Below are 22699 nucleotides of genomic sequence, written 5' to 3'. Positions count from 1 at the left end.
CATGCCAATATCTGTTTTTTTTTTGACTTTTTAATAATAGCCATTTTGACTCATGTAAGATGCTATTTCATTGCGGTTTTAGTTTGCATTTCTCTGATGATCAGCAATGTTGAACATTGTCTCATGTGTTTTTTGTCTACTTGTACTTCTTCTTTGGAGGAATGACTCTTCATGTCCTTTGCCCAGCTTTCAGTGGGGTTGTCTTTTTCCTGTTGCATTGTCTGAGTTCCTTATAAATTCTGGACATTTGTCTTTTGTCACAGGTATAACTTGCAAATATTTTCTCCTATTCTACAGGTTTTCTGTTTATTCTGTTGATTATTTCTTTTGCTGTGCAGAAGCTTTTAGTTTAATTAAGCCCCATTTGTCTACTTTTGTTTTTGCTGTATTTGCTTTTAGGGTCTTCATCATAAATTCTTTGCCTAGGCCAATGTCGAAAAGAATTTTTTCCAGATTTTCTTCTGTGACTTTTATAGTTTCAGGTCTTATGTTTAAGTCTCTAATTCATATTGAGTTAATTTTTGTATATGCGAAGAGATAAAAGAGATTCCTCTGCATATTGCTGGCCTATTTTTCTAGCACCATTTATTGAATAAGGTGTCCTTTCCCCACTGTTTATTTTTGTCAACTTTGTCAAAGGTCAATTGGTTGTAAATATGTGGCTTTGTATCTGGGTTCTCCATTCTGATCCATTGATCAAAGTATCTATTTTTGTACCAGTATCATGCTATTTTAGTTGCTATGGCCTTGTAGTATAATTTGAAGTCAGGCAGTGTGGGATCTCCAGGTTTGTTCTTTTTGCTTAGGATTGCTTTGGCTATTCAGGGTCTTTTCTGGTTCCATATGAACTTTAGGAGTTTTTTATACTTCTATGAAAAATGATATTGAAATTTTAGAGGGATTTCACTGAGTCTATAGATTGCTTTAGGCAGTACGGTCATTTTGACGATATTGATTCATCTAATCCTTGAGCATGGGATGTCTTTCTTTTTGTTTGTGTTATCTATGATTTCTTTCATCAGTGTTTGTTGTTCTCCTTTTAGAGATCTGTCACCTCCTTGGTTAAATGTATTCCTAGGTGTTTATTTGTGTGTGTGTGTGTCTATTGTAAATGGGATTGAGTTCTTGATTTTGCTCTCAACTTGAATGTTATCAGTATATGGAAATGCTACTGATTTCTGCACACTGATTTTTGTATCCTGAAACTTTACTGAATGTGTTTATGAAGTCTAGGAGTCTTTTGGAGGAGTCTTTAGCTTCTCTAGGTGTATAATCATGTCACAAGCAAACAGATACTTTCACTTATTCTCTTTCAATTTGGAGGCCTTTTATTTCCTTCTCTTGCCTGACTGCTCTGGCTAGGACTTCCAGTCCTATGTTGAATGAAAGAGCTAAGAGTAGCTATCCTTGTCTCGTTCCAGTTCTTGGAAAAAAAGGCTTTCGACTTTTCCCCATGCAGTATGATAACTGTGGGTTTGTTGTATGTGGCCTTTGTTATCTAGGGGTATGCTCTGTCTATGCATAGTTTGTTGAGGGTTTTTATCATGAAGAAATGTTGGACTTTATCGAATGCCTTTTCTGCATCTATTGGAATGATCATATGGTTTTTGTTTGTACGGCTGTTTATGCAATGAATCACATTTATTGATTTGTGGATGTTGAACCATCCTTGCATCCTAGAATAAAACCCACTTGATTGTGGTACATTATCTTTTTGATGTGCTTTTGGATTCAGTTTGGTAGTATTTTCTTAAGGATTTGCATCTGTGTTATCAGGGATGTTGCCTTGTAGTTTTCTCTTTTTGTTGTGTTCTTGCCCGATTTTGGTAGCAGAGTAATACAGGTTTTCCAGAAGGAGTTAGGGAGGAATTCCTCCTCCTTGACTTTTTGGAATAGTTTCAGTAAGACCGGTACCAGTTTTTTTTTTGTACATCTTCACTTCATTTTTTAAAAGTGTGGCTCAGATTCTAGATGTTATTAATAAATATAGCTTTATGCATGGGATTTAAAGTTATAATTAACTATACTATTTTTATTATACCTTAAGATAGTCTTCTCTCATAAAGTTCATCTGGCATATATGTTCATTTTCTGATGTGAATAAAATTAATTTTATGTTGATAACTCTTTTGAAAAGTATATGATACCTTTTGAAACTTGGTAATGTACTGTGGTACAAGTGAGACAGAATAAGGAATTCCTAATTATAGGGTAGTTGTAGTCGGTTAAAACATGTCCACCCACCCCAAAGATATTTATTCATATCAAATCCCTGGAACTTGGGACTCTTATTTTATGGATAAAGGGTTTTTCAGATAGATAAAGAGTTTTTGCAGATGTAACCAAGTTAAGAATTTTGAGTTAAGATCATCCCAGAGTATGCAAGTTGGATCCTGTTTTAGTCAGGGTTCTCTAGTGAAATAGAACAATGGAAAAGATGGAAATAAGGAGGTAGATTGGGAGAGGGGGAGGGGGAAGGAGAGGGGGAAGAAAGAGAGAGAGGAAGAGCGAGAGAGAGAGAGAGAGAGGTAGAGAGAGAACAGAGAAAGACTGGTTTTAAGGAATTAGTTCCCACAACTCTAAGTGCTGGTCTGAAATCCACACGGCAGGCTGGCAGGCTTGAAATTCAGGTAAAAGTTGATGTTGCAGTCCTAAGTCTGACATTTATAGGTCAGGGTAGCAGACTGAAAACTCAGACAGGATTTTTATGTTACAGTCTTGAGACAAAATTCTTTTTTCTCCAAGAAACCTCAGCTGTTGCTCTTTAGGCCTCAGCTGATTGCATGAGGCCCATCCACATTTTACAGAAGATAATCTGCTTTCTCATAAATATTAATCACATCTTTAAGGTACCTTCACAAAACACATCTAGACAAGTGTCTGACCCAACAACTGAACACCATAGACAAGTTGACCCATACAAAAAATCAACCTTCATAGTCCCTAAATTCAAAGACAAGTGTCTCATAAAAAACACACAGAGAAGAAGGCCACTTGAAGATAAAGCAAAGGGAGGTGGACACAAGTCAAGGAATCTGGCAACAGCCAGAATGATGAAAACGCAAAGAATGAATTCTCCCCTGGAGCCACAGAGGTAGTACAGCCCTGCTGACACCTTGCTTTCAGACGTCTGGCCTCCAGAAGAATAAGAGAACATATTTCTGCTGTTTTAAGGCACCCAGTTTGTGGTAATATGACAGCCACAGAAAACTGATAGCTGAAAATAGAAAATTAATATGTTCCTTATACTTTTAACCAATCAATCTAAATATTTCCTCTTTTTTCTTTTTGAGACGAAGTTTCACTCTTTTAGTCCAGGCTGGAGTACAATGGTGCAATCTTGGCACACTGCAACTTCCACCTCAGGGTTCAAGTGATTCCCCTGCTTCAGCCCCCCAAGTAGCTGGGATTACAGGCACATGCCACCACACCCAACTAATTCTGTATTTTTAGTAGAGATGGGGTTTTACCATGTTAGCCAGGCTGGTCTCGAACCCCTGACCTCAGGTGATCCACCTGCCTCAGCCTCCCAAAGTGCTGGGATTACAGGTGTGAGCCACCACGCCTGGCCATTTATTCTCTATTATATTATTTTATGATATTGTATGATATCATCTTTCCTTGTCCATTTTTCACCTACCCATACTTAAAGGATAATTTGTCAATGAAGCATTTCAAAAGCAACGAGTACCTTGCACCTAGATTTGATAATAAAAATCAATATGACCAACAAATACAGATTGTTGTTAAGTATAGTGACAATACAGAAAGAAGAAAATCAGACACTGAAGGCTATCTCTAGAGTCATGACAGCAGTGGTAGGAAAGAAGAGTGATTTTAAAGGAAGATTCATTACAATTTCACTGTGTTCTGAATTTTTAAAAAAAGAGAAATGATGACTCAAATATAACTAAATATTTGAGATTGGGGAAATAGGAAACAAAGATACATCTGAGAAGAAAGTTGAACAGAGGTGCTCTGTATCTCTCTGTCTCTCTCTCTCTCTCTCTCTCTCTGTGTGCATGTATGTGTTGACATAGGCAGTATAAGGGAAAGGTTGAAAGGAGGTGGGAGAAACAGATAAAGGTCTGAGAACTGAGCATGAATGATGAAAAATTAAGTTTGGCACATATTGAATTTCACAAATTGGGTAAACATCTTGGTACGAATGTTTTCATCAACAGAGTTACTACTGGAGAAGGTATGGAGAAAGCAAGCCAAAAATTATAGATGAGTCCATCATTAGTCCTTTTATACTTACATTAATAGGCACTGTCATCCAACAATATAATTTAATGTGATTTTTGCTACCAGCTCTGAAAATGAATAAAAATGCTACAAACAGTAAGATAAACTGTGCTAGGTTATTAATGACAAATATTAGTATTATGGGATCATTGATAAGATTTTCCTTCTAAAAGCATCACATTAAGTTTTCTGTAGTTTTTATACTGAGCTATACAAAGGAAAGAAATATATTTTAGTTTCAGAAAACAGTGATAAGAGTGAGAATGATTATTGTTCTTAATTATAACTAGGGAAGTTTTTTCTTAGTAATTTACTACACATGATGTCAGAATCACAAAATATGTTTACAAACAGCTTCAGAAACAATTTCACTTTATATAGTCCAATAACTTAAGCTTCCCCATAATTTCAGGTGGTTTTTTAAAAAAAGAAATGCTAAAAATATGGCTGGGTGCGGTGGCTCACGCCTGTAATCCCAGCACTTTGGGAGGCTGAGGTGGGTGGATCACAAGGTCAGGAGATCGAGACCATCCTGGCTAACATGGTGAAACCCCTTCTCTACTAAAAATACAAAAAAATTAGCTGGGAGTGGTGGTGGGCGCCTGTAGTCCCAGCTACTCAGGAGGCTGAGGCAGCAGAATGGCGTGAACCCGGGAGGAGGAGCTTGCAGTGAGCCGAGATCACGCCACTGCACTCCAGCCTGGGTGACAAAGCCAGACTCTGTCAAAAAAAAAAAAAAAAAAAAAAAAAGAAAGAAATGCTAAAAATAAACATATACATATTGTTTCCAGGTAGCATATAGTCTTTGTGCTTTCTGAGTATTGACTCACATGGTCCTCTTAACAACCCCATCAAACAGATACTCTTATTATTCCTACTTTATATATGAGGACATTGAGTCCCAATACAGTTAAGAATCCTGCCCAAGACCACATAGCTAGTAAGGACTGAGTCAGGATTTTATCCATGATCTAAATCACTAAGCTACACTACTCTGTGCACTGCATGCTATAAATAAAAATGACATTTACTTTAAGATTTTGTGATAGGTATTTGCAGACTTAGTAGTGTCTTTTTTATTGAAATGAAAACAAGCTGTAAAACAAAAAGATCAATTCTGAAAAGTCAAGCTTCCATGTATCCTTTGCTTTTCTAAGATCAGTGAAGATTCATCTTTGATTCATTTTGAAATTCCTTTTCTTACAAATCACGACTATATTTAACAGCCCACAGTATTCTAATGCAATTCTATCAAAGCTCTTTAAGCAAAAGAGAAAGAAAAATTCTAAAGATGGGAACCACAATAAATGGAATGTTAACATTTTAACAACAGAGAAGCAAATTTTAAATCAAAGTGAACACGAAGCTGTCAGATTAACTGCCCAGTTTTTTTTTTTTTAACAAACTTCTCTTTCTGATGAACCAAAACTTTTTTCTTGAACCACCTGAGTCAGAAAGTTTGTTTAAATGTCAACTCCATGCCATCAGATACCTTCTGGGTCAATGAACTGCATCCAACCTGGAGAAGTTAGGATGCACATAGGAAAGAAAGTACAGTTTGAGGTTTTCAAGGCATGTCACACTGGCTTCAATTCTTAGATACAGCATTATAGGCATTTACCTCTTCCACAAAGGAGAATCTTAATATGCATCAGATTCAGGCAACATTAATACTTATGTGATCAAAAGGGAAAGAGAATCAACATCAATTCTTATCCCCCTCCAAATCTTTCTACCAGCATCATTTTTTATCATACGTTGTCCCTTGGTATTGGTGACCAGTAGCCACAATGACAATTCTGCAGGGAGAGGGATGAAGGTGCCACTGCCACTGCCCTGCATGAGCTCAGACACTGAATACATCATCTTGTTAAAATGTCCGGGACTCAATGGCATTTCGCCTGGAAAACTGAGTCCCTTCCCACCACAGTGCTTCCGGTGGCAGTGGTAGCAGCAGCAGCAGCAGCTGCTGCTGCTGTTGTTCTCCTGTTCAAAATAATCTTTGGGATGTATAGAGGACATATATATACTACTAGGGTGTATGTGTCATCTTATTTTATGTCCTCAAAGCCATCATGAAATGATTTGATTCCATGAAACTAATTAAGACAGCTCAACTAATAGCTGAAGAAACTCCCATGTCTCTTCTAACATATCATCAGTACAAAAAAGCCAAGAACTTAAAATATTTTCCACTTGTTTCCAACTCTTGTTTCACAATCTACTTATTAATGAAAACCAGGAAAAATCTATACACTAGTTATTAATGGATGTATTTACTTATTGTAGCCACGTATCATAAACTATGAAATAAAAACAAAAGCTATCTTTATAACACTTTTGTAGACCTCCATATCCATAGTTCAAAACGACTTTTTTTTTTTTTTTTACAAGGGGCAAATTCTAAGACATAATTGGCAGAAAGGAGGGCATGTCAAAAACACAGAATTGTTTGTTGAATCACATCAGGCAAGTCACATTCAAAACAAACACTCAGAATTGCCTCAAGATGGGGATCAGAGTACATGCTGCACTTCATTTTCCTATCAAAAATCCCTATACGTATCAGAAGACAGAGACCCACAGCCAGACACACTCCCCACAGGGTGAAGAGTAGTGATACAAGATTGGAGTAGCCAGGGAGTCCTCCACCTCCATACATACACTTGGACCAGGGAGTGAGAAGGAGATATGATTTTCCACCACCATCCTCAGACCCCACCTAGCCCTGCTGGAGTAGTAAATTCCCCAGGTGGCTGACTACATTAGGTAGGATCAGAAAGCCTCCATACCTAGAGGACAAACTACTAGTACACTCCAACTCTGCTCAGCAACACAGCCTAACCACTCACATAACTAGTGGAGTCTGAATGCAATAAAATGTTTCAGTAGTCATATAATATTAAAAGCTAGTATTTATTAATACTAAAACACTTCATTATTCTCATAACATTAATAACTAATATCCATTAAGTGGTAGGTTTCCTTCCAAAAGCACTGCATGTGTTAATAATTTAATTCCCATGAAACCCTGTGAAGTAAGAGTTTATATATGTGAGGAAACTGAGGCACAGAAATGAGAAGTCACATTAGTCACAGGGTAACTTAGGGAATATTAATATCACAGGGCCAGCACATGGTAGTGCAGGAATTTCATCAGAGGCCATGGGGCTCTGGGCCTTATCTTCTTAACTACTTCACTAGACTTTTTCTTGAGCTAACAAGGAATCCTGATTCTAAAGATGAGCATATAGACATTTAAGGAAAGCCAATGCCATGAAAAGCAGCTAATAAATATTAATATATTTGAAAACAAGGTTAGAAGAAATTTCTCAAAAATTTAGATTAAGTATGATTAATATCATCAGGGAAATAGGAGGCTATATCCATAATAAAAATCAACTAATTTTCAGAAAAATGACAAAAATGATCACTGACATTTAAATCTCAATAGATGAGCTGAATAAGAGAATGGGCACAGCGAAAGAACAAATTAGAAGAATGAGCCAGAATTCTCCCAGAAGCTATTAAAAATACCAAGAGATACAAAGCGTGAAAGTAAAGCCAAAGGATATGAAGGACTGATTCCAATATTTGACGACAGGCTTTCCAGAAACCAAGAATAAGAAAATAAAGCATAAGGACATGTAAAGCAAGCATGGAACAAAATGTCTTAAAACTGAGGAAAGTTTTAGGCTCTTGGATTTAGAAGTTCTAATGAATGCTGGGAAAATGAGTAAAATAAACATATCTTGATATCTCATGATGAATTTTCCAGATTTATGAGGCATTTATATTTCATTTTTGAGCACCTCAAAATTAAGATAACGAAAAATACACCTAAAAGTGAGCTCATCTAAACATACCCTTTTATTTTCATGATTTCTATCATTAATGTTGATATTTTCCCAATCACTCAGGCTCCTAATGCAATGCTTTCTTTAACTCTTCCCTTTTCTGGCCATATTTGTTCTATGGTTCTACTTTATCTTCCCCTGCTATAAAGAATAGAGACTCACTAAGGCCAGCACTGGAGCCACTGTAAGACACATGTGACGTAATAAAGATAAGGGTATCACATACAAGTCTGCAATCAAGACACATCATAAGCTTGGCCTCCCAATTAGGAACTGAAGGATAGTTCTGGAACTGAGAGAGTATGTATGCATTTGAGAATCAGAAACATGAGGAATGACCATCATTACTAACGGATGCATTTCTACTCTATAGATTCCTTCTACAGATCTGCCTACCTGGGCTTCCCACCTCCAATTCACTAATTCTTACATTTCACCCTATATAGCTTTTGCTTGATTATAGTTCTTGCTTCCTTATTACTTTTAACTAAAAGTAAACTCATTTTGGTCCTAACTTTGACTCTGCCCTCATTGTCTATATTTTCTGTTTGTTACTTAAAATCTATTACATCCTAGTTTTTGTTTTACTTAGCTATCATGTGATTCTTTTCTCCTTCAGGAGACTAACTCTATACAGACCAGCTATTTCTCCTGTTAAAACAAACTCTTCTTTAATTATTCAATTTAGAAGTGTTCCTATTTGGGAATACATAAATTATTGAGCCATGTCTAATCTTTAGGATACTGCCTTCCTCTGAACTTATAATATCTGTAATTATACAACTGACTCAACAGTTCATCATGGGCTTGTTATCCAATTCACTCCTTGTTTGCTGTATTTCATAATTATTAAGTTTTTGTATTGTTTACTTAACATGGTTTATAGCTTCCTGTCTCTTCTGGGCATTCCTGTTTTAGTACTGGAGCATATTCCAGTACTTAAAGTTACTGAGTCCATTTTTCTGTCTTATGTAGCATTGAGAAAATTTAAATGCTTCAGCTTTTCATTTGTAAAATAGAGGCAGAAAGGATAAATTAACGCCTGTGGATATTATCTGATTATAATATTTAAATGGTATTAAGATGTGAAAAGCCTTGGATAAAAGACATAGGCTCCCTTACCAGAATAGAAAAAAAAGTATATTTCCCAAGTTTGGTTTCAGCACTTCTTGATTAGACAGATGTCTCTGTTTTCCCTTTGAATAAAATTCCCCCTTATTTTCTCTCACAGCAGTTCATAAAATAAGACATTCATAAATATTTTAAGTTCACAAAATAAAAAAAAATTGTTATTGATGGTAAACTGGCATGAGCAGTGCCATGGGGCCAATGCTTTGTCACAAAATATTTATCAATATCTTTATGGATAATAATACCAAAAGTAAAATCTTCCCAATGGCAATTATGTAGCTAATAGTTACATAGTTAATAGAGAGAGAAGGTACCTGATCACAAGTCTTCCCCTCACTTGCTCTGGGAACCACACCCCCACTGTGGGGGGAACTCCCAGGAGTTATGACTGCACCATGAACTGCTCACTACTCCTCACTATAGATTATTGGATGGGTTCTTGAGCCCAGATTGGCTAATTAGATTTCTCTCTCCCCCTGAGAGAGATTAGGTGACAGGGAGTCCAGTACCTCTGTCTATGGGGCTACACCATGCAGAGCAGGAGCTGTGGGAATGACCATCTATGGCAGTGTGGACTGAGAGTTCATGAAAGCTCATCTGCAGAGAGAAAGAAAAGAATGATGCAGATACACCCAGAGAAACAAGAGAGGGGCAAAGTTTAGTTCTTGGTTTGCTGTACCCTAATCATTTTAGTACATTCCAGTTTTGTTTTCGAGGTGAGTTTCTTTTTTTTTTTTTTAAGAATTTTAATGCACACAGTTGTCATTCCCAATTCTACTACTGAATATTTTTCTGTCATCTCAATGTACTGCATCTAATTTAAATGCCTGTCACCTTCTCTGGCAACTCAAATTCTAACGTCTGGTTTACAAGTCCATTCACAATTTCCACAATTTGCTTTTCTCCCCTTATCTTTCCCAGAATGTTTCACTTGTTTTGCATTTCATCTGCCCGGGTCTCTGTCCCCTGAATACACCTTAAATGTTATCTCTATCTTTTTCCCATAAGTTTTTTTCCTTTCCTCAAATGTCTGATTCTGGCTTATCACTCTAGTAATGAAGCTTGTCCTCCTCACAGGAAATGTCCCTGTCCCATCCCCCAGGTATTAATGACATCCTATGATCATTTTCTAGGTCATTCTTTGGGGTTCTATTACATATATACCATGTGGTATGAGTTTTCTTCCCTAGCGTGTAATAACTTGATTACATTGTGAGCACTGCAGGCCCACTGTGTCTAAAAAACATGTTTTTCTTTGGTTAAGAAAGTAAGAGCCTAGAAAGAATCAAAATTTAGTGGATCTGGTAGACAGATAGGCAGTCTTTAAAGAACTTTAGCTCCTTTAAAAAAAAGTTCTATAGTGATTTTCAATTATATTCTTTATATTTTACTTACAGAAGCAACAAATGAATATATTTTTACCCTAAAAACAAATCCAAGCAATATAGAATTGCACACAACATAATATGACGTTTCCCTCCATGCACGCCCACCTCCACCACATCCTCATCTCCATCCACTCCCTTCCACAGAGGTGACCATTGTTAAGAGTTTGGTATACATTGTTCCTATGTCTTACTAAAGATTTACTTGCAATTATAAACATGTTTTTCTTTTGTTAACAAAAATCAAATAATACTTTATAGCTTTTAACTTTTTTCCATTTAAGAATATATTTTATATTTTTATGATAGTACATTTAAATATACCATATTTTTTGTAATAGCTGCATTAACAGCCCAAAGGTGGGTATATAACAATTAACACAATCATTAACTTACTGATGGCTAATAGCAACAATGCCATAGTGAAAAAGACAAATAAACGTGTTTCATGTGTAGCTGAATGTGGTAACAATTCTGCTGGCTGGTTTTCCTCAAACCTTGCTGAGTCTAGCTGACTCATATGTATGCGTAGATGAGTACCCATATTGAAGATGAGTACATTTACATAGGCCTAGTGAAAATTCTCATTTCCTTGATGGCTAAGACAGGTTCTTATCTAGAACTTGAACCCAACTCTATGTGATTGCAGTGCCCACGTTCTTTTCATTATATCATGTTTCAAGTTTTAAAACATAGGTTTTCTTCCTAAATGAGTGCTTACTAAATCTTCCATAGAGAGTAAATTCTATATACAACCAGCTATTGTTGTACAATATTAGACAAAATTATTATTTCTTTATAAAATTTGGTATTTAAAAAGAGCAGCTGGTCAAAACCAGATTTCATGACATAACCATAAATTTGTATTCTTTGTGTAGACATAGCACTCTTTGTTCTAGTTGCCAGATGATGTCATTTCTAATGCACCCCTTTATCAATAACATATTGCTTAAAGATACCACAAATGAAATTTAAGTTATTTTTGAACAGGTAAAGATAATGAACGGAAGGTAATTTGAGTGATTCTCATAAAATCTTTTAACGTGAGATAGAAGACAATTGACATACAACTGCCAGGATTTTTATAACACCAGAACAGAATGCACTAGTCAAAAGAAAAGTACTTAAATACATTGTTGTAGTTTGATGTGTATTCACCTATGTGGAGTAGTAAACAAAGCCCTACAACAGTAAGTGGCTTAGTAGTAATACTTTGATTCTTAGTGTTCAAATATTAAAGAGATACAGCTTACAGGCATACCTACAAGTTTCTCCATGGTGTCTTTAAAGTGTTGAAAAAACAGTCTTAAGGTATGAGATTCTACTTTAAAAATGCTTGGCAAGGCAGTCGAAGAAGTACAAACCATAGAGAAATTTTGCTGTCTCATGAAAAGAGCAAAATGGTGATCCCCTTATTCTCCCATTGTACTAACTTTATGAAGCAGAAGAGCCTCATTTCTTCCCGTCCCTAAATTGTTAAAGAAGAGGCGTGGTTATTGACAATCTCAAATTAAAAAAAAAAAAAGATGGGGAGATATATAGGGAACGTTTTATAATTGATTCTTGACTGTGGAACAAAACTACCCAATTATGTACCAATTAATTAGTGCATCAAAGAGCATTTTATCATGACATTTATAAAGCACATCCTAGTAGGATAATTTTATCTTCATACTTTGCCAGTTAAGTGAGCTTATCTTGTTACTAGAGTAGTTGACAGCCTCTGCTTCAAATAAAAGATATTTAAAGGTTTTTCCTGAAATTCTAGTTAGGGTCCCTAATTTTGAGGAGCTGCTTATATGGTGGGCAATAAGTAACAGAACATTGAGAATGACTTCTTGTTCTTTTCTATGGCATGTGCCAGCTATCTGTGGGAAAAATAAAAGGGGAAAGAGCTTTAATAAATTTTCTTTCATAAGAGAAGCCTGTACTATGCAAGCATGTTCCCAGCTGACATAAAGAGAAGCTCTTCTTTTTGTCAATGAAAGAATTTTTAAAAATATCTTCTTGGTGTGATAATTTCCTGGTGTGATAATTTCAATCATGAAAATCAAAATTCTCAACTCTCATGAAATAAATGTCATATTTTATCTTTTATTTAGAAATTCAACATCAGTTCTAAAGTGAGAGTTTAGAGATGTATTAATATAACTCATGACTTAGAGCCAAATTATAAATGTTGTAAATTATGTAACCACTATCCCATCCCTTTTGCTGCAACTTTGTGAAAGGGAAGAAGAGGATTGAAAAGTAGGTTTTACTCACCATCAGAATTCTGTGTGTGTGTGCGTGTGTGTCTGTGTGTGTGGTGTCAACATTTGAAATTTACTCTCTTAGCAATTTTGAAATATACAATACACCACTATTAACTACAGTCGCTATGTTGTGCATCACAAAAAATTCATTCTTCCTGTCTAACTGAAATTTTGTATTATTTGACCACCATCTCCCCATTCCACTCAACTCCCTAGCCTCTGGTAATCACCATTCTACCCTCTGCTTTCTTAATATTTATCCTCCCCATCTCACTCACAAGTTGGAAGATGACTGGGGAAAGAGAAGAACTTGTAGAAAAGATACATAACAAGAATAAATAAGAAAAAGAAAAAATATAGAGAGAAGTGGAGAAAGATGCAGGCAGGGGGCAGAGAGAGAGAGAGCAGAGTAATTAGCACAGATCTGGAAGTTGTTTCTTCCCTAACTGAATACACGAGCACCTTCAAAAATCTGCAGAGACAGGGCTCTGCCCTATCAAATTCTTCCTCCACTCCAAGCTGCACTCCATAGATTTAAGGAGACAGAAAAAGAAAACAGCTGCACCTGCTGTATTAATTATACAAAAAGAGTGAATATTTTCCAAAGGTATACACTGAAAATCATAGTTTCAAACTATAAAATAATAAAAGGAAAAGAAATTAAAAATATTTGGAAAAACTCATCAAGGAGCAGGAATATATTTCAGGGAGTAGCTATATATTTCATTTTATATATGTATTTTAAAAGTCCTACTATTTTGTGGATGTGGAGGGTTCTTGGATGCTTATCACAATAGTAAAAATAATAAACTAAACACATAAAAGCCCACCCTGCATGGACTAATGATAATGATAAGGATTAGACTTAAGATCCAACTGGGCAGAAGAGTAGAACTCAGAAGAGCCCATCTCTATACACATACATATACACACTAAATCCGTACTTCGTTCTACTAATTTGTTCATTTTCTCTTTTTCCTTCCCGTTTTTTAAAACTTTTCCTCTTTCCTTGCTTTTTCTTTACTTCTTTTTTTACAGCCACGCGTGCAAAATAGGTAAAGCCATTCATTATTTTTACTTAAAAAAGGAAAAAAAAGGTTGATACTCCTAAGATGTACAAGTTAACACAAACAAAAACCTGACAATAATTCTGTTCAGTAATTATAAAAGGTGAAATGTTATATTAAAATTTGAATTAACAAAATTCGTTAAAACATATATTCGCATATACATAATGCAATGATAGTATTTGATTTGATTACATAATGAAAAAAGTGATTAAAATATATTGATCTCCATTTCCTGGTTTCTATGCTTTAAATGGAATTAGATATTATTCTTGCTTTGGCATTAGTAAGAGTTCAGTATGTTGTTATTGAGGATTTTAGAACATATTATATAAGAAATATGTATTATTTGAACTTTATTCACTTCAGCTAGTGAACTGCATCCAATAGACTTTTCCTATTATATAGAGGAGAAATCTGGTCCAGGAAAATTCTGGATAAATAAGGGACCATGATCATTTCTGGATGGCCAATAAATTACTAACCTATAATATTTCAGAAGACAATTCTTTCCTACAATGTAGTATTTAACTTGCAATTGGTAAGGTATATTTGTAAGATTCTGTGGCTGGGTGCCCTGTCTGCTTTATCTTGATAACATATTGAGAGGTCATGTGGGACTTTGTATACAGTAGGTGAAAAAGAAAGGTTTGTTGGATGAATGAGCCATTTCAACTCCTAAAAGCAGTTAAAATCTTAGGGAACAATATCAGATAAAAGGTGAGCTGAGTTAAAGTCATTTCAATACATTATTGAATATGAAGAAAATAGTTCCTCTTTTTATTTTTATTTTCCCAAGACTTTTGCAGGATCAAATATTGCAAGTTATCAAATATACTTTTAAATTTTATTTATTTTTCTTATATTTACAGAAGACATGGAAATAAATGTACCCACTGAAACAGCATAGGAGAAACAATACCATACTTTAAATTTTTATTAATTTATTTTAACAATTTATATTAAGAAAATTTACATCAGCATAGGAGAAACAATACCATATTTTAAATTTTAATTTATTTTAACAATTTATATTAAGAAAAGTTATATTTAATGTGTTAATTTATTAATTAAAAATCCAATCTCTTCCAAAAAGATGACAATTGAATACACTGAACTTTTAATTAACTTGCTGCCATTTAAGAGATCACAAAATAATCTGATTTTCTATACAGGCATTTTTAATAGTAAATTTAAAAAAACTGAAATGCTGATTTTATGCAAGGTATCTGTAAAAATTATTTATTGGTGCTTAGATATGCATTTATTTAAGAGCCCTTATACCCTGCCCCCACGTTTAGTTTCCCTGTTGTTCCAATGCCGATGATTAGCACATTCTAATTGACAATTGATTGTATGTTTTACAAGATCGTCAGCTCATTCAAGTCAGCAAGTATGTGATATTTGATATTGTCTCCACTAAACAATAAATCTGTCTCTGTAGGTACAGCTTCCCACAAAGTAGCTGTTCACCAGATATTTGAGATAATCACAAGATGAAATCCATTAGCCTACAAATTTAAGGTCAAACCCAAACCATGGTGAAAATTTAATTTTGAAGCACCTTAATAACTAGCCAGATTTTATTTTCATGATAACATTCCTCTCAGCATCTCCTCAAGCTTTAACTCTATACTTTAACGTATACTAAAAGAATAGTATAACAGACATAGTATTTGGTTATAAATCAGTCTAACTTTGGCGATAGATAATGTAGTTCACCTTCATTTGTATGCTACATGGCTTCCTAACCTTCAAAAAGATTTGGATGCAAGAAATCTAAATTCCAAAAGCAGCATTACTTTGACTTAAATGTAATGTGATATTAATAAAGTAGCCTCCCCGAGCCGGTACTTTTTCCCTTTAATATGGTAGTTTTCAAGACGTGGGTATAATGACATGAGTTATAATAGTCGTTTCCTGCAGTTAAGTATTGCTAGCATTAGAGTTGAGACTCTTGCTTACAAAATGAGCAGAAGAGTAGATTGAAGCCACAATAAATGAGGCAAGGGTTTCCAGAGTTCAGCACATCTAGATACTCAGTGAAAATTTCTTCCCTTTACTCCTTGCCCTGTCATTAAGCACAAGAAAATTACCATAGCAATCAAGTTTGAAGCACATCTTGGCAAGGTTGAGAGCTTTTACCCACTCTGAGCAAGCACAAGGTGTTCATGTTTGCTGATATAATACTGACAAAGTTTCCATCTCCGAAAATGTACTGATTGGGTAGGACTCAAGAGTGAGGCAAATTAGAAGAAGAATCCACAAAGCTTCAGCATCCTTCACCAGAAACAGTAGTTCCAGGGCAATGGCATCCCCACGTACTCCCATAGAGAGCACCAAATCTACATCAGATAACTTTTCAGGCACACAGACAGAACTGATCAGTCTTATTTCTGCTCAGGATGCTCTCGGGATTAGTTTCATCTTGCCCCACATCCTTGTGTCACTAGCAACCAGACCTCCAGGATCATAACACTCACTATGACTCAGACTTTCATCCCCTGTGCGTTCTGTGTGCATCCCCTCATTCACATCTCCACTCCATTCTAAACACTTTGTTACTGCCAGAAGCCCATGTCTATGATCACTAAATGTTCCTCTACCCTCAATGTCTTTTAAAAATATGTCCTTCCCCTTGCCATAACTCAAGTGTGAATGTACCCTGAGCACATCATTGTTTTACTAGCTCTCCCTAGTGAGTGCTTTTTAAATTTTCTTTTACACTCTGTGTACCTCAGGTCCAGGAGGTGAAGATGAGTGTTTTCACTCTACTTTTCCCATTTGTAATTCATTTAGTTCTATTAAAAACCCAAACTGACAGGCATGGTGGTGTGTGTCTGTACTCTCAGCTACTTGGGAGGCTGAGGTGGGAGGATTTCTTGAGCACAGGAGGCCAGGCTGCTACTTAAGCCATGTTCGTGCCACTGCACTCCAGCATGGGCAACAGAGTGAGACCCTGTCTCAAAGCAAAACAAAACAAAACAAAAACAAAAAACTACTTATGCCATCCAAGTATGCTAGCCGCCATTTTTTCCTCTAGTGTCATTTATAAAACTTGGGTCATTCATTGAAGATCCTTGAAGATCTATTGAAGTATCTTCTCTGTCATCCTTCTGTGTTACATCAGCATCCGGGGAATGACCCACCCAATATGCCGACATCTGATTCCTTGACTTTGTCGCCTCCAGTAAGCTTTTCTTACGTTACTTGACAGCTTCCCACTCCCATAATGATACCCTAGTCCTAACATTCACTTAGAAAAATATCCCGCCTCCTTCATCTTCTTTATAATACATATCTCACTCTGACTATATTCCTCTATCCTTTTCATTGACTCAAATACATTTAAAAATTCTACTACTTCATAATGACTTTCACTGACCAATCCACTTTTCTGCTACCCACCACCATCCCTTTTAGAGTCACTTATTTCTTTGACTTCATATTCTCTCCAGCAACTATTTTCTTCTGTTTCAAAGCCAAACTGACTTCATCTGCTTTCCTCTGTTTCTCCTACCACTCATGCTTCAGTACTCACCAATCTGATGTGTATCTGCCACACTTCTGAAAAGTCTCACCAAATTCACCTACAAAACCCCATGTTATCAAAATCAATGATGATGCTTCTACCATCATATTTTAGCCACAGATGATGCAGCTGACCTCCTCTCCCCTTCTTGAAACACTCCGCTCTCTTGGTCTCCATGATAATATGCTCCAGTGGTTTTTATATTACTTTCTTAGTGACTCCTTCTTTCTCCTCTACTTGACCTCCAAATAATGAAGTTCCTAGATAATCATTCTTGAATTGTTCAAATTTTTCAGTAGATTCCTTCTTCTTCAAGTAAACTTATCTCACCCTGGGCCTTTAAATGCCTTTTATATTTGCTGAAGATTTACATATTTCAGCATATGTATTTCCAACTCTGATCTCTCTCTGAGCTTCAGACTCCATTCGGCTGTGTGCCTGATATCTCCATATTGATGTCTAACATGCATTTTAACCTCAGCATGGCCAAATCTATGGAAGTACAAAGCTGACAATAGAGGCCTTGCATGGTGAAATGGTGTTTTTCAACATAAAAAAAATCTGATCTGGAATCTAGAACTAAATTGTAATTAAATCCAAAAGTCAACCTTTTTCTCCAATGAAGTTAAAGACTGGTCTTTGTCTATTATCTTTAGAACAACCTTAAACACTATAAAACATATGCACACGTCAGGTGTTTTTCCAATGATTTCTTAAACTAATTCTGCTACATGACATCAAATATAATAAATGACTAACCAGCATTATATGTGACTTAGTTCCATACTAGAAGGCAACAGTACTGCAAAGGATAATTGTATCGTCAATGTCCTACATTTAGGATTGTGGACGGCTAATGTTCTAACACTCTGCTTAGAGATGCTGCTGCATTATTCCTGTCCACCAAAACAGAATGCAAACAGACCCACGTGGACAAGACTGTGAAACAGGGCAAATATCTGAAGTAACCTCCACTTTCTAAGTTCTCCCCTCTCCAGACATCCAAATTCATGCAAATCTCTCCTTCTCAATCTCTAATTCCTTAATTGAAATCTATTCTCAGGGAAATATCTGATGAATCATCCCCCTGATATTATAAATTATAGTCTAGACAAATAAGTGACTTCTCTTTAACAATATATATTTATTAAATATCTATTTATTAATTTTAAATGAAAAGATAAAATATCTATTAAAAATTATGTATTTGACAATAAATTTCAATTTAGCACAGTAAAAAAAACAAACAAACAACAAAACAACAAAAGTAATCTCTAACTTGGGGGATTTTTGTGTTCTGACCTAGTTTGTAGAGGCAGTCTTAAGGCAAAGGGCTCCTTGTTAACATGGAGTTTAACATTTATATCACAATTAAGGATAATGTTTCAGCTTTTTCTTTGGACCAACAATAACTTTGCAAAAATTTCCAGCTTTAGGATAACTATCTGAGGCCAATTACTTAACTGCCTATGACCCAACTTTGCTATCCCAGTTCTTGTGGTAGAATTCTGTGAGTTATTATCATGACCCTACTGAAGAACTCGAAAATAAAACTACTTTTGCAAATACATCTTTGTGTTTATACTAATGAGGGTTAGGTAATACGTACCAGGATAACAAGCAGAAACTGCTCTAGGGTACTGTTGGAAACAAAACACTGAATTAATGTTTATTTCCTATATGAAGAGTGAGAAACTAAAAAGAATAATGTACCACTTTGGTAGGTAATAACTGTCCTGCTAACTGTAATTGTTATGTATTTCTATACATGTTAAGAAAGTAATTGATTTTATCTCTAATGCACCATGGTTAAAAAATAAAAAAATCTTATAGAGTACCTTTAACAAACTGAGAATATAAATGCTCTATACTTTAACAAAAAACAAATACTGAAATAGTTTCATATGTGCAGGTTGCTATCAAATAAAATGATGTGCTTGTCTTTTTAAAACCAATAGACAAAGGAATTGATATTGTAATGGGAACTTATCATTTTAAAATTATAATAGAAGGTTCCAACAATTCAAAATTAGAATGTATGAATATTTATTTTGCCTTGATCTAATTAAAGATTTGCCTGAATAATTACTGTTTGGGGGAAAATGCATATTAGTGAGCTGCTATGCTATAATAAATTTATATGCAAATTAAAAGCTAGAAGGTAGCAATGATATCCTGTAACAGAGGAGATTTAAAAAAAAATTTGGAGACAGGGTCTCACTCTGCCCCCAAGGCTGGAGTACCGTGGCATAATCTTAGCTCACTGCAGCCTTGAACTCCTGGGCTAAAGGGATCCTCCCAACTCAGCCTCCCAAGTAGCTGGGACTACAGGCATGTGCCACCATGTCCAGCTAATTTTCTTCAGATTTTGTAGAGATGAGGTCTTAATATGTTGCCCAGGCTGGTCTTGAACCCCTGCACTCAAGTGATCCTCCTACCTCCCCCAAAATGCTGGGATTACAGGTGTGAGCCACTGTACCAGGCTGATTTTTAAATTCCAAACTTCCTTAAAATTATGTAGAAAGCTTTTATTACTTCAACCATTGTTACCCTTTCTCTCTGTTTCCTAATTTATAAAGACATAGACATCACTAAAATATGTATTAAGAGAAACTTTCACATTTTTAAACATTTCAAATGTGATCACTATGCATTTAATCCTCATTATTACATTGTTTATATCTGTTAAAATGTAGCCTCATAAGTTTCAAAATTAAGCAATATTTTTAAATGATCAAAAAAGGAAAATTTAATGACCTGAACATTTTATAGTATTTTATAGTCACTCTCTCTCTTTGCTTATTTCTCTCTTTCTCTTTCACTAAATATTATCTTTACACAATTGGGATACCCTTTTAGAGAAAACAACCATTGCTTTTATCGTTTTCTCAGTTTATATGTTGACTAGTGCTAAGTAACCTAAGTAACGTGTGGCTTCCTGGTCACTTTTGGTGTCTTGATGCCTCTTACATTTGATATTACTAATGTAATAGGGTAAAAATAGTATTGTAGAAATGCAGCATTCACATTTGTTTTGGGCTGGAGTGCCTAGAGGCAGCTTCAGGTGCACATGTCTTACTGAGTTAGCACTCTCTTGGAACAGAGTGTCAGGAAACCATTGCAGGAGAATGTGGTCTCAGCTGGTGTCTAGCTTCAGCCTGATTGCTTGGGGAGAAATGGATGCCAATTGCACAGCAGAGTTTATTCCACTTTGGGACAAAGAGACCATCTTCCACATCCCATTATCAGTCAGTCATTGGGTGGGTAAGGGGCATGTAACTTTTTTGGGGGGTAAGACAATTCCTGTTGGACCAAGGGCAATATTCCAGAGAAAGAGCTCCAAGCTGTTAGCAGCCAACACTTAGAGCAGCTTGCTAAAGGGCATCGACAGCACAAGTGCAGATCTGAGCTGCACTCCAACAGCTGGGACAAGTAGGATCCTTGTTATTCATCAAATCTGTTCATCAATACTAATTTGCCTCTGTTAAATAAACAGCCAAGCAATTTTGCTGCTTGAGCTTACTAAACAGTATTTTCTCTTCTGAAAATTAAGTAGACCACTTTTTGTATTGAACCATATAGGGGCCTCACAAAGGGATCAGTATAGAATAGACACTGAAAGAGTTTAGGAAGAGCCTTGAAAAAACAGCTTTTCCTTTTTCCTCAAGAAATGCTGTCAATATAGATAGGCTGCAAACTGTTCATTTAGGTGTTTGACATAAGAATCAGTTTCTCTGAAACCTAACAATTTGCTCATTTTGAGTGCCCATGAAGTTTCAAATTGTTTACCTTTCTGATTTCCACGACTATAGTTGCAAGTTATTATTTACAGCTGTACATGACATAATATTGAAAGCATTAAAGCCAGAAAGGATTTATCATAGGCCATTAAGTGAGTAAATTCTTGGCTGTGCTGAGCCTTTGCCATCTCCTCAAAATTAAATATGGACAAAGAAAGACAGTTTTGACAGTTTAACCATTTTTACTGTCTCAAATACATATTATTACATGTATGAACAATTTCGGGGAGCAAACTTTAGAATGGACACCTTGTCACTCAGAATTGAAACTGGTATTCTGCAAGCCTGATGAAATTGGTACTCTGGAAGCTCACGGCTGGACAAAGACAGCATTCCCTGTGATTTGTCTTCACGTGGTGTACTCTAAATACAAGATAGTTACTTTGTGTTTCCAGGAAAATGGTCACTGATTAGTGGCTGAAAATGGAATTTATTTTGAAATCAGTTTTATTTCAGATTTAATGGAGAGACACTCAAAGACCTCACTAGAGCTCTTGCACATGGGCACCCAAGTACCTGGATGCTTAGCAATAGTAATACTGTGGTCGATGGAGACAAACCCTAGACGAAAGTTCAAAATGTTTACAGTCACACCCTTCACGTTCCCCATGGAATAAATTAATTTTACCTTAGTTTTTTACTTTACCTCCCTAAAGCGACAATGTCAGTGTCAAAATTTAAGCAACTTAGACACACGTCCAGAATCTCTTGAAAGGAAACCCTGGAAAATCAAATACTATAAAGAAATAAGAGGATCAGAAAAGTTTTCACAGGGAAAAGCCCTTTGCCACAACTGCTATTTAGGGGGAAGTTTTCACAGGGAAAAGCCATTTGCCACAACTGCTATTTAGGGGAAAAAATGTTGGTGGGATGCAGTGGCTCACACTTGTAATCTTACCACCTTGGGAGGCTGAGGCACATGGATCACTTGAGCCTAGGAGTTTGAGACCAGCCTCAACAATATAGTGAAACCCAGTCTCTACAAAAAATTAGCCTGGCATGTAGTGCCAGCTACCTGAGGAGAATCTGAGCCGTTATTGTGCCACTGCACTCCCTGTCTCAAAACAACAACAAAAGTTTATACAAACTGGGAAAATTCCACATTAATCTATCATCTTGGTTTTGTTGTTTTGTTTTTGTTTTTAGATACAGGGTCTTGCTATTGCTCTGTCACCCAGGCTAGAGTGCAGTGGCATGATCATAGTTCACTGTAACCTTGGACTCCTGGCTCAAGAGATCATCCCACCTCAGCCACCCAAGTCGCTAGGACTACAGGCACTCACCATCATGCCTGGTTACATTTTTATTCTTATTTTTTGTAGAGACAGGTTCTCCCTATTTTGTCCAGGCTGGTCTTAAAATCCTGGATTCAAGCAATCCTCGTGCCTTGGTCTCCCAAAGCTCTGGGATGTCATCTATTTTTA

The 22699-nt window shown here is 36.0% G+C and overlaps 1 protein-coding gene across 6 annotated transcripts in view; it reads right to left on the bottom strand.

Annotated features, from left to right (window-relative positions):
• Nucleotides 1-22699, bottom strand: part of CHSY3 (chondroitin sulfate synthase 3) — a 282656-nt gene that overhangs the window by 124718 nt on the left and 135239 nt on the right. For 2 of the 6 annotated variants that reach the window (XM_011543365.4, XM_017009435.3), the window contains exon 3: nucleotides 9746-9833. The exons of 3 other annotated variants lie outside the window; for them this stretch is intronic. In XM_011543365.4, coding sequence (XP_011541667.1) covers nucleotides 9746-9833 — 88 coding nt within the window. Of the gene's footprint in view, nucleotides 1-9745; nucleotides 19730-22699 lie in introns of those variants that run through there. One more of the 6 variants, XM_017009434.2, reaches the window with a different exon arrangement.

This window comes from Homo sapiens, chromosome 5 (assembly GCF_000001405.40).
Source record: "Homo sapiens chromosome 5, GRCh38.p14 Primary Assembly".
Lineage (NCBI taxonomy): Eukaryota > Metazoa > Chordata > Mammalia > Primates > Hominidae > Homo > Homo sapiens.
The sequence above is the reverse complement of the archived record's forward strand: the minus strand, read 5'-3'. Positions and strand labels throughout refer to the sequence as shown.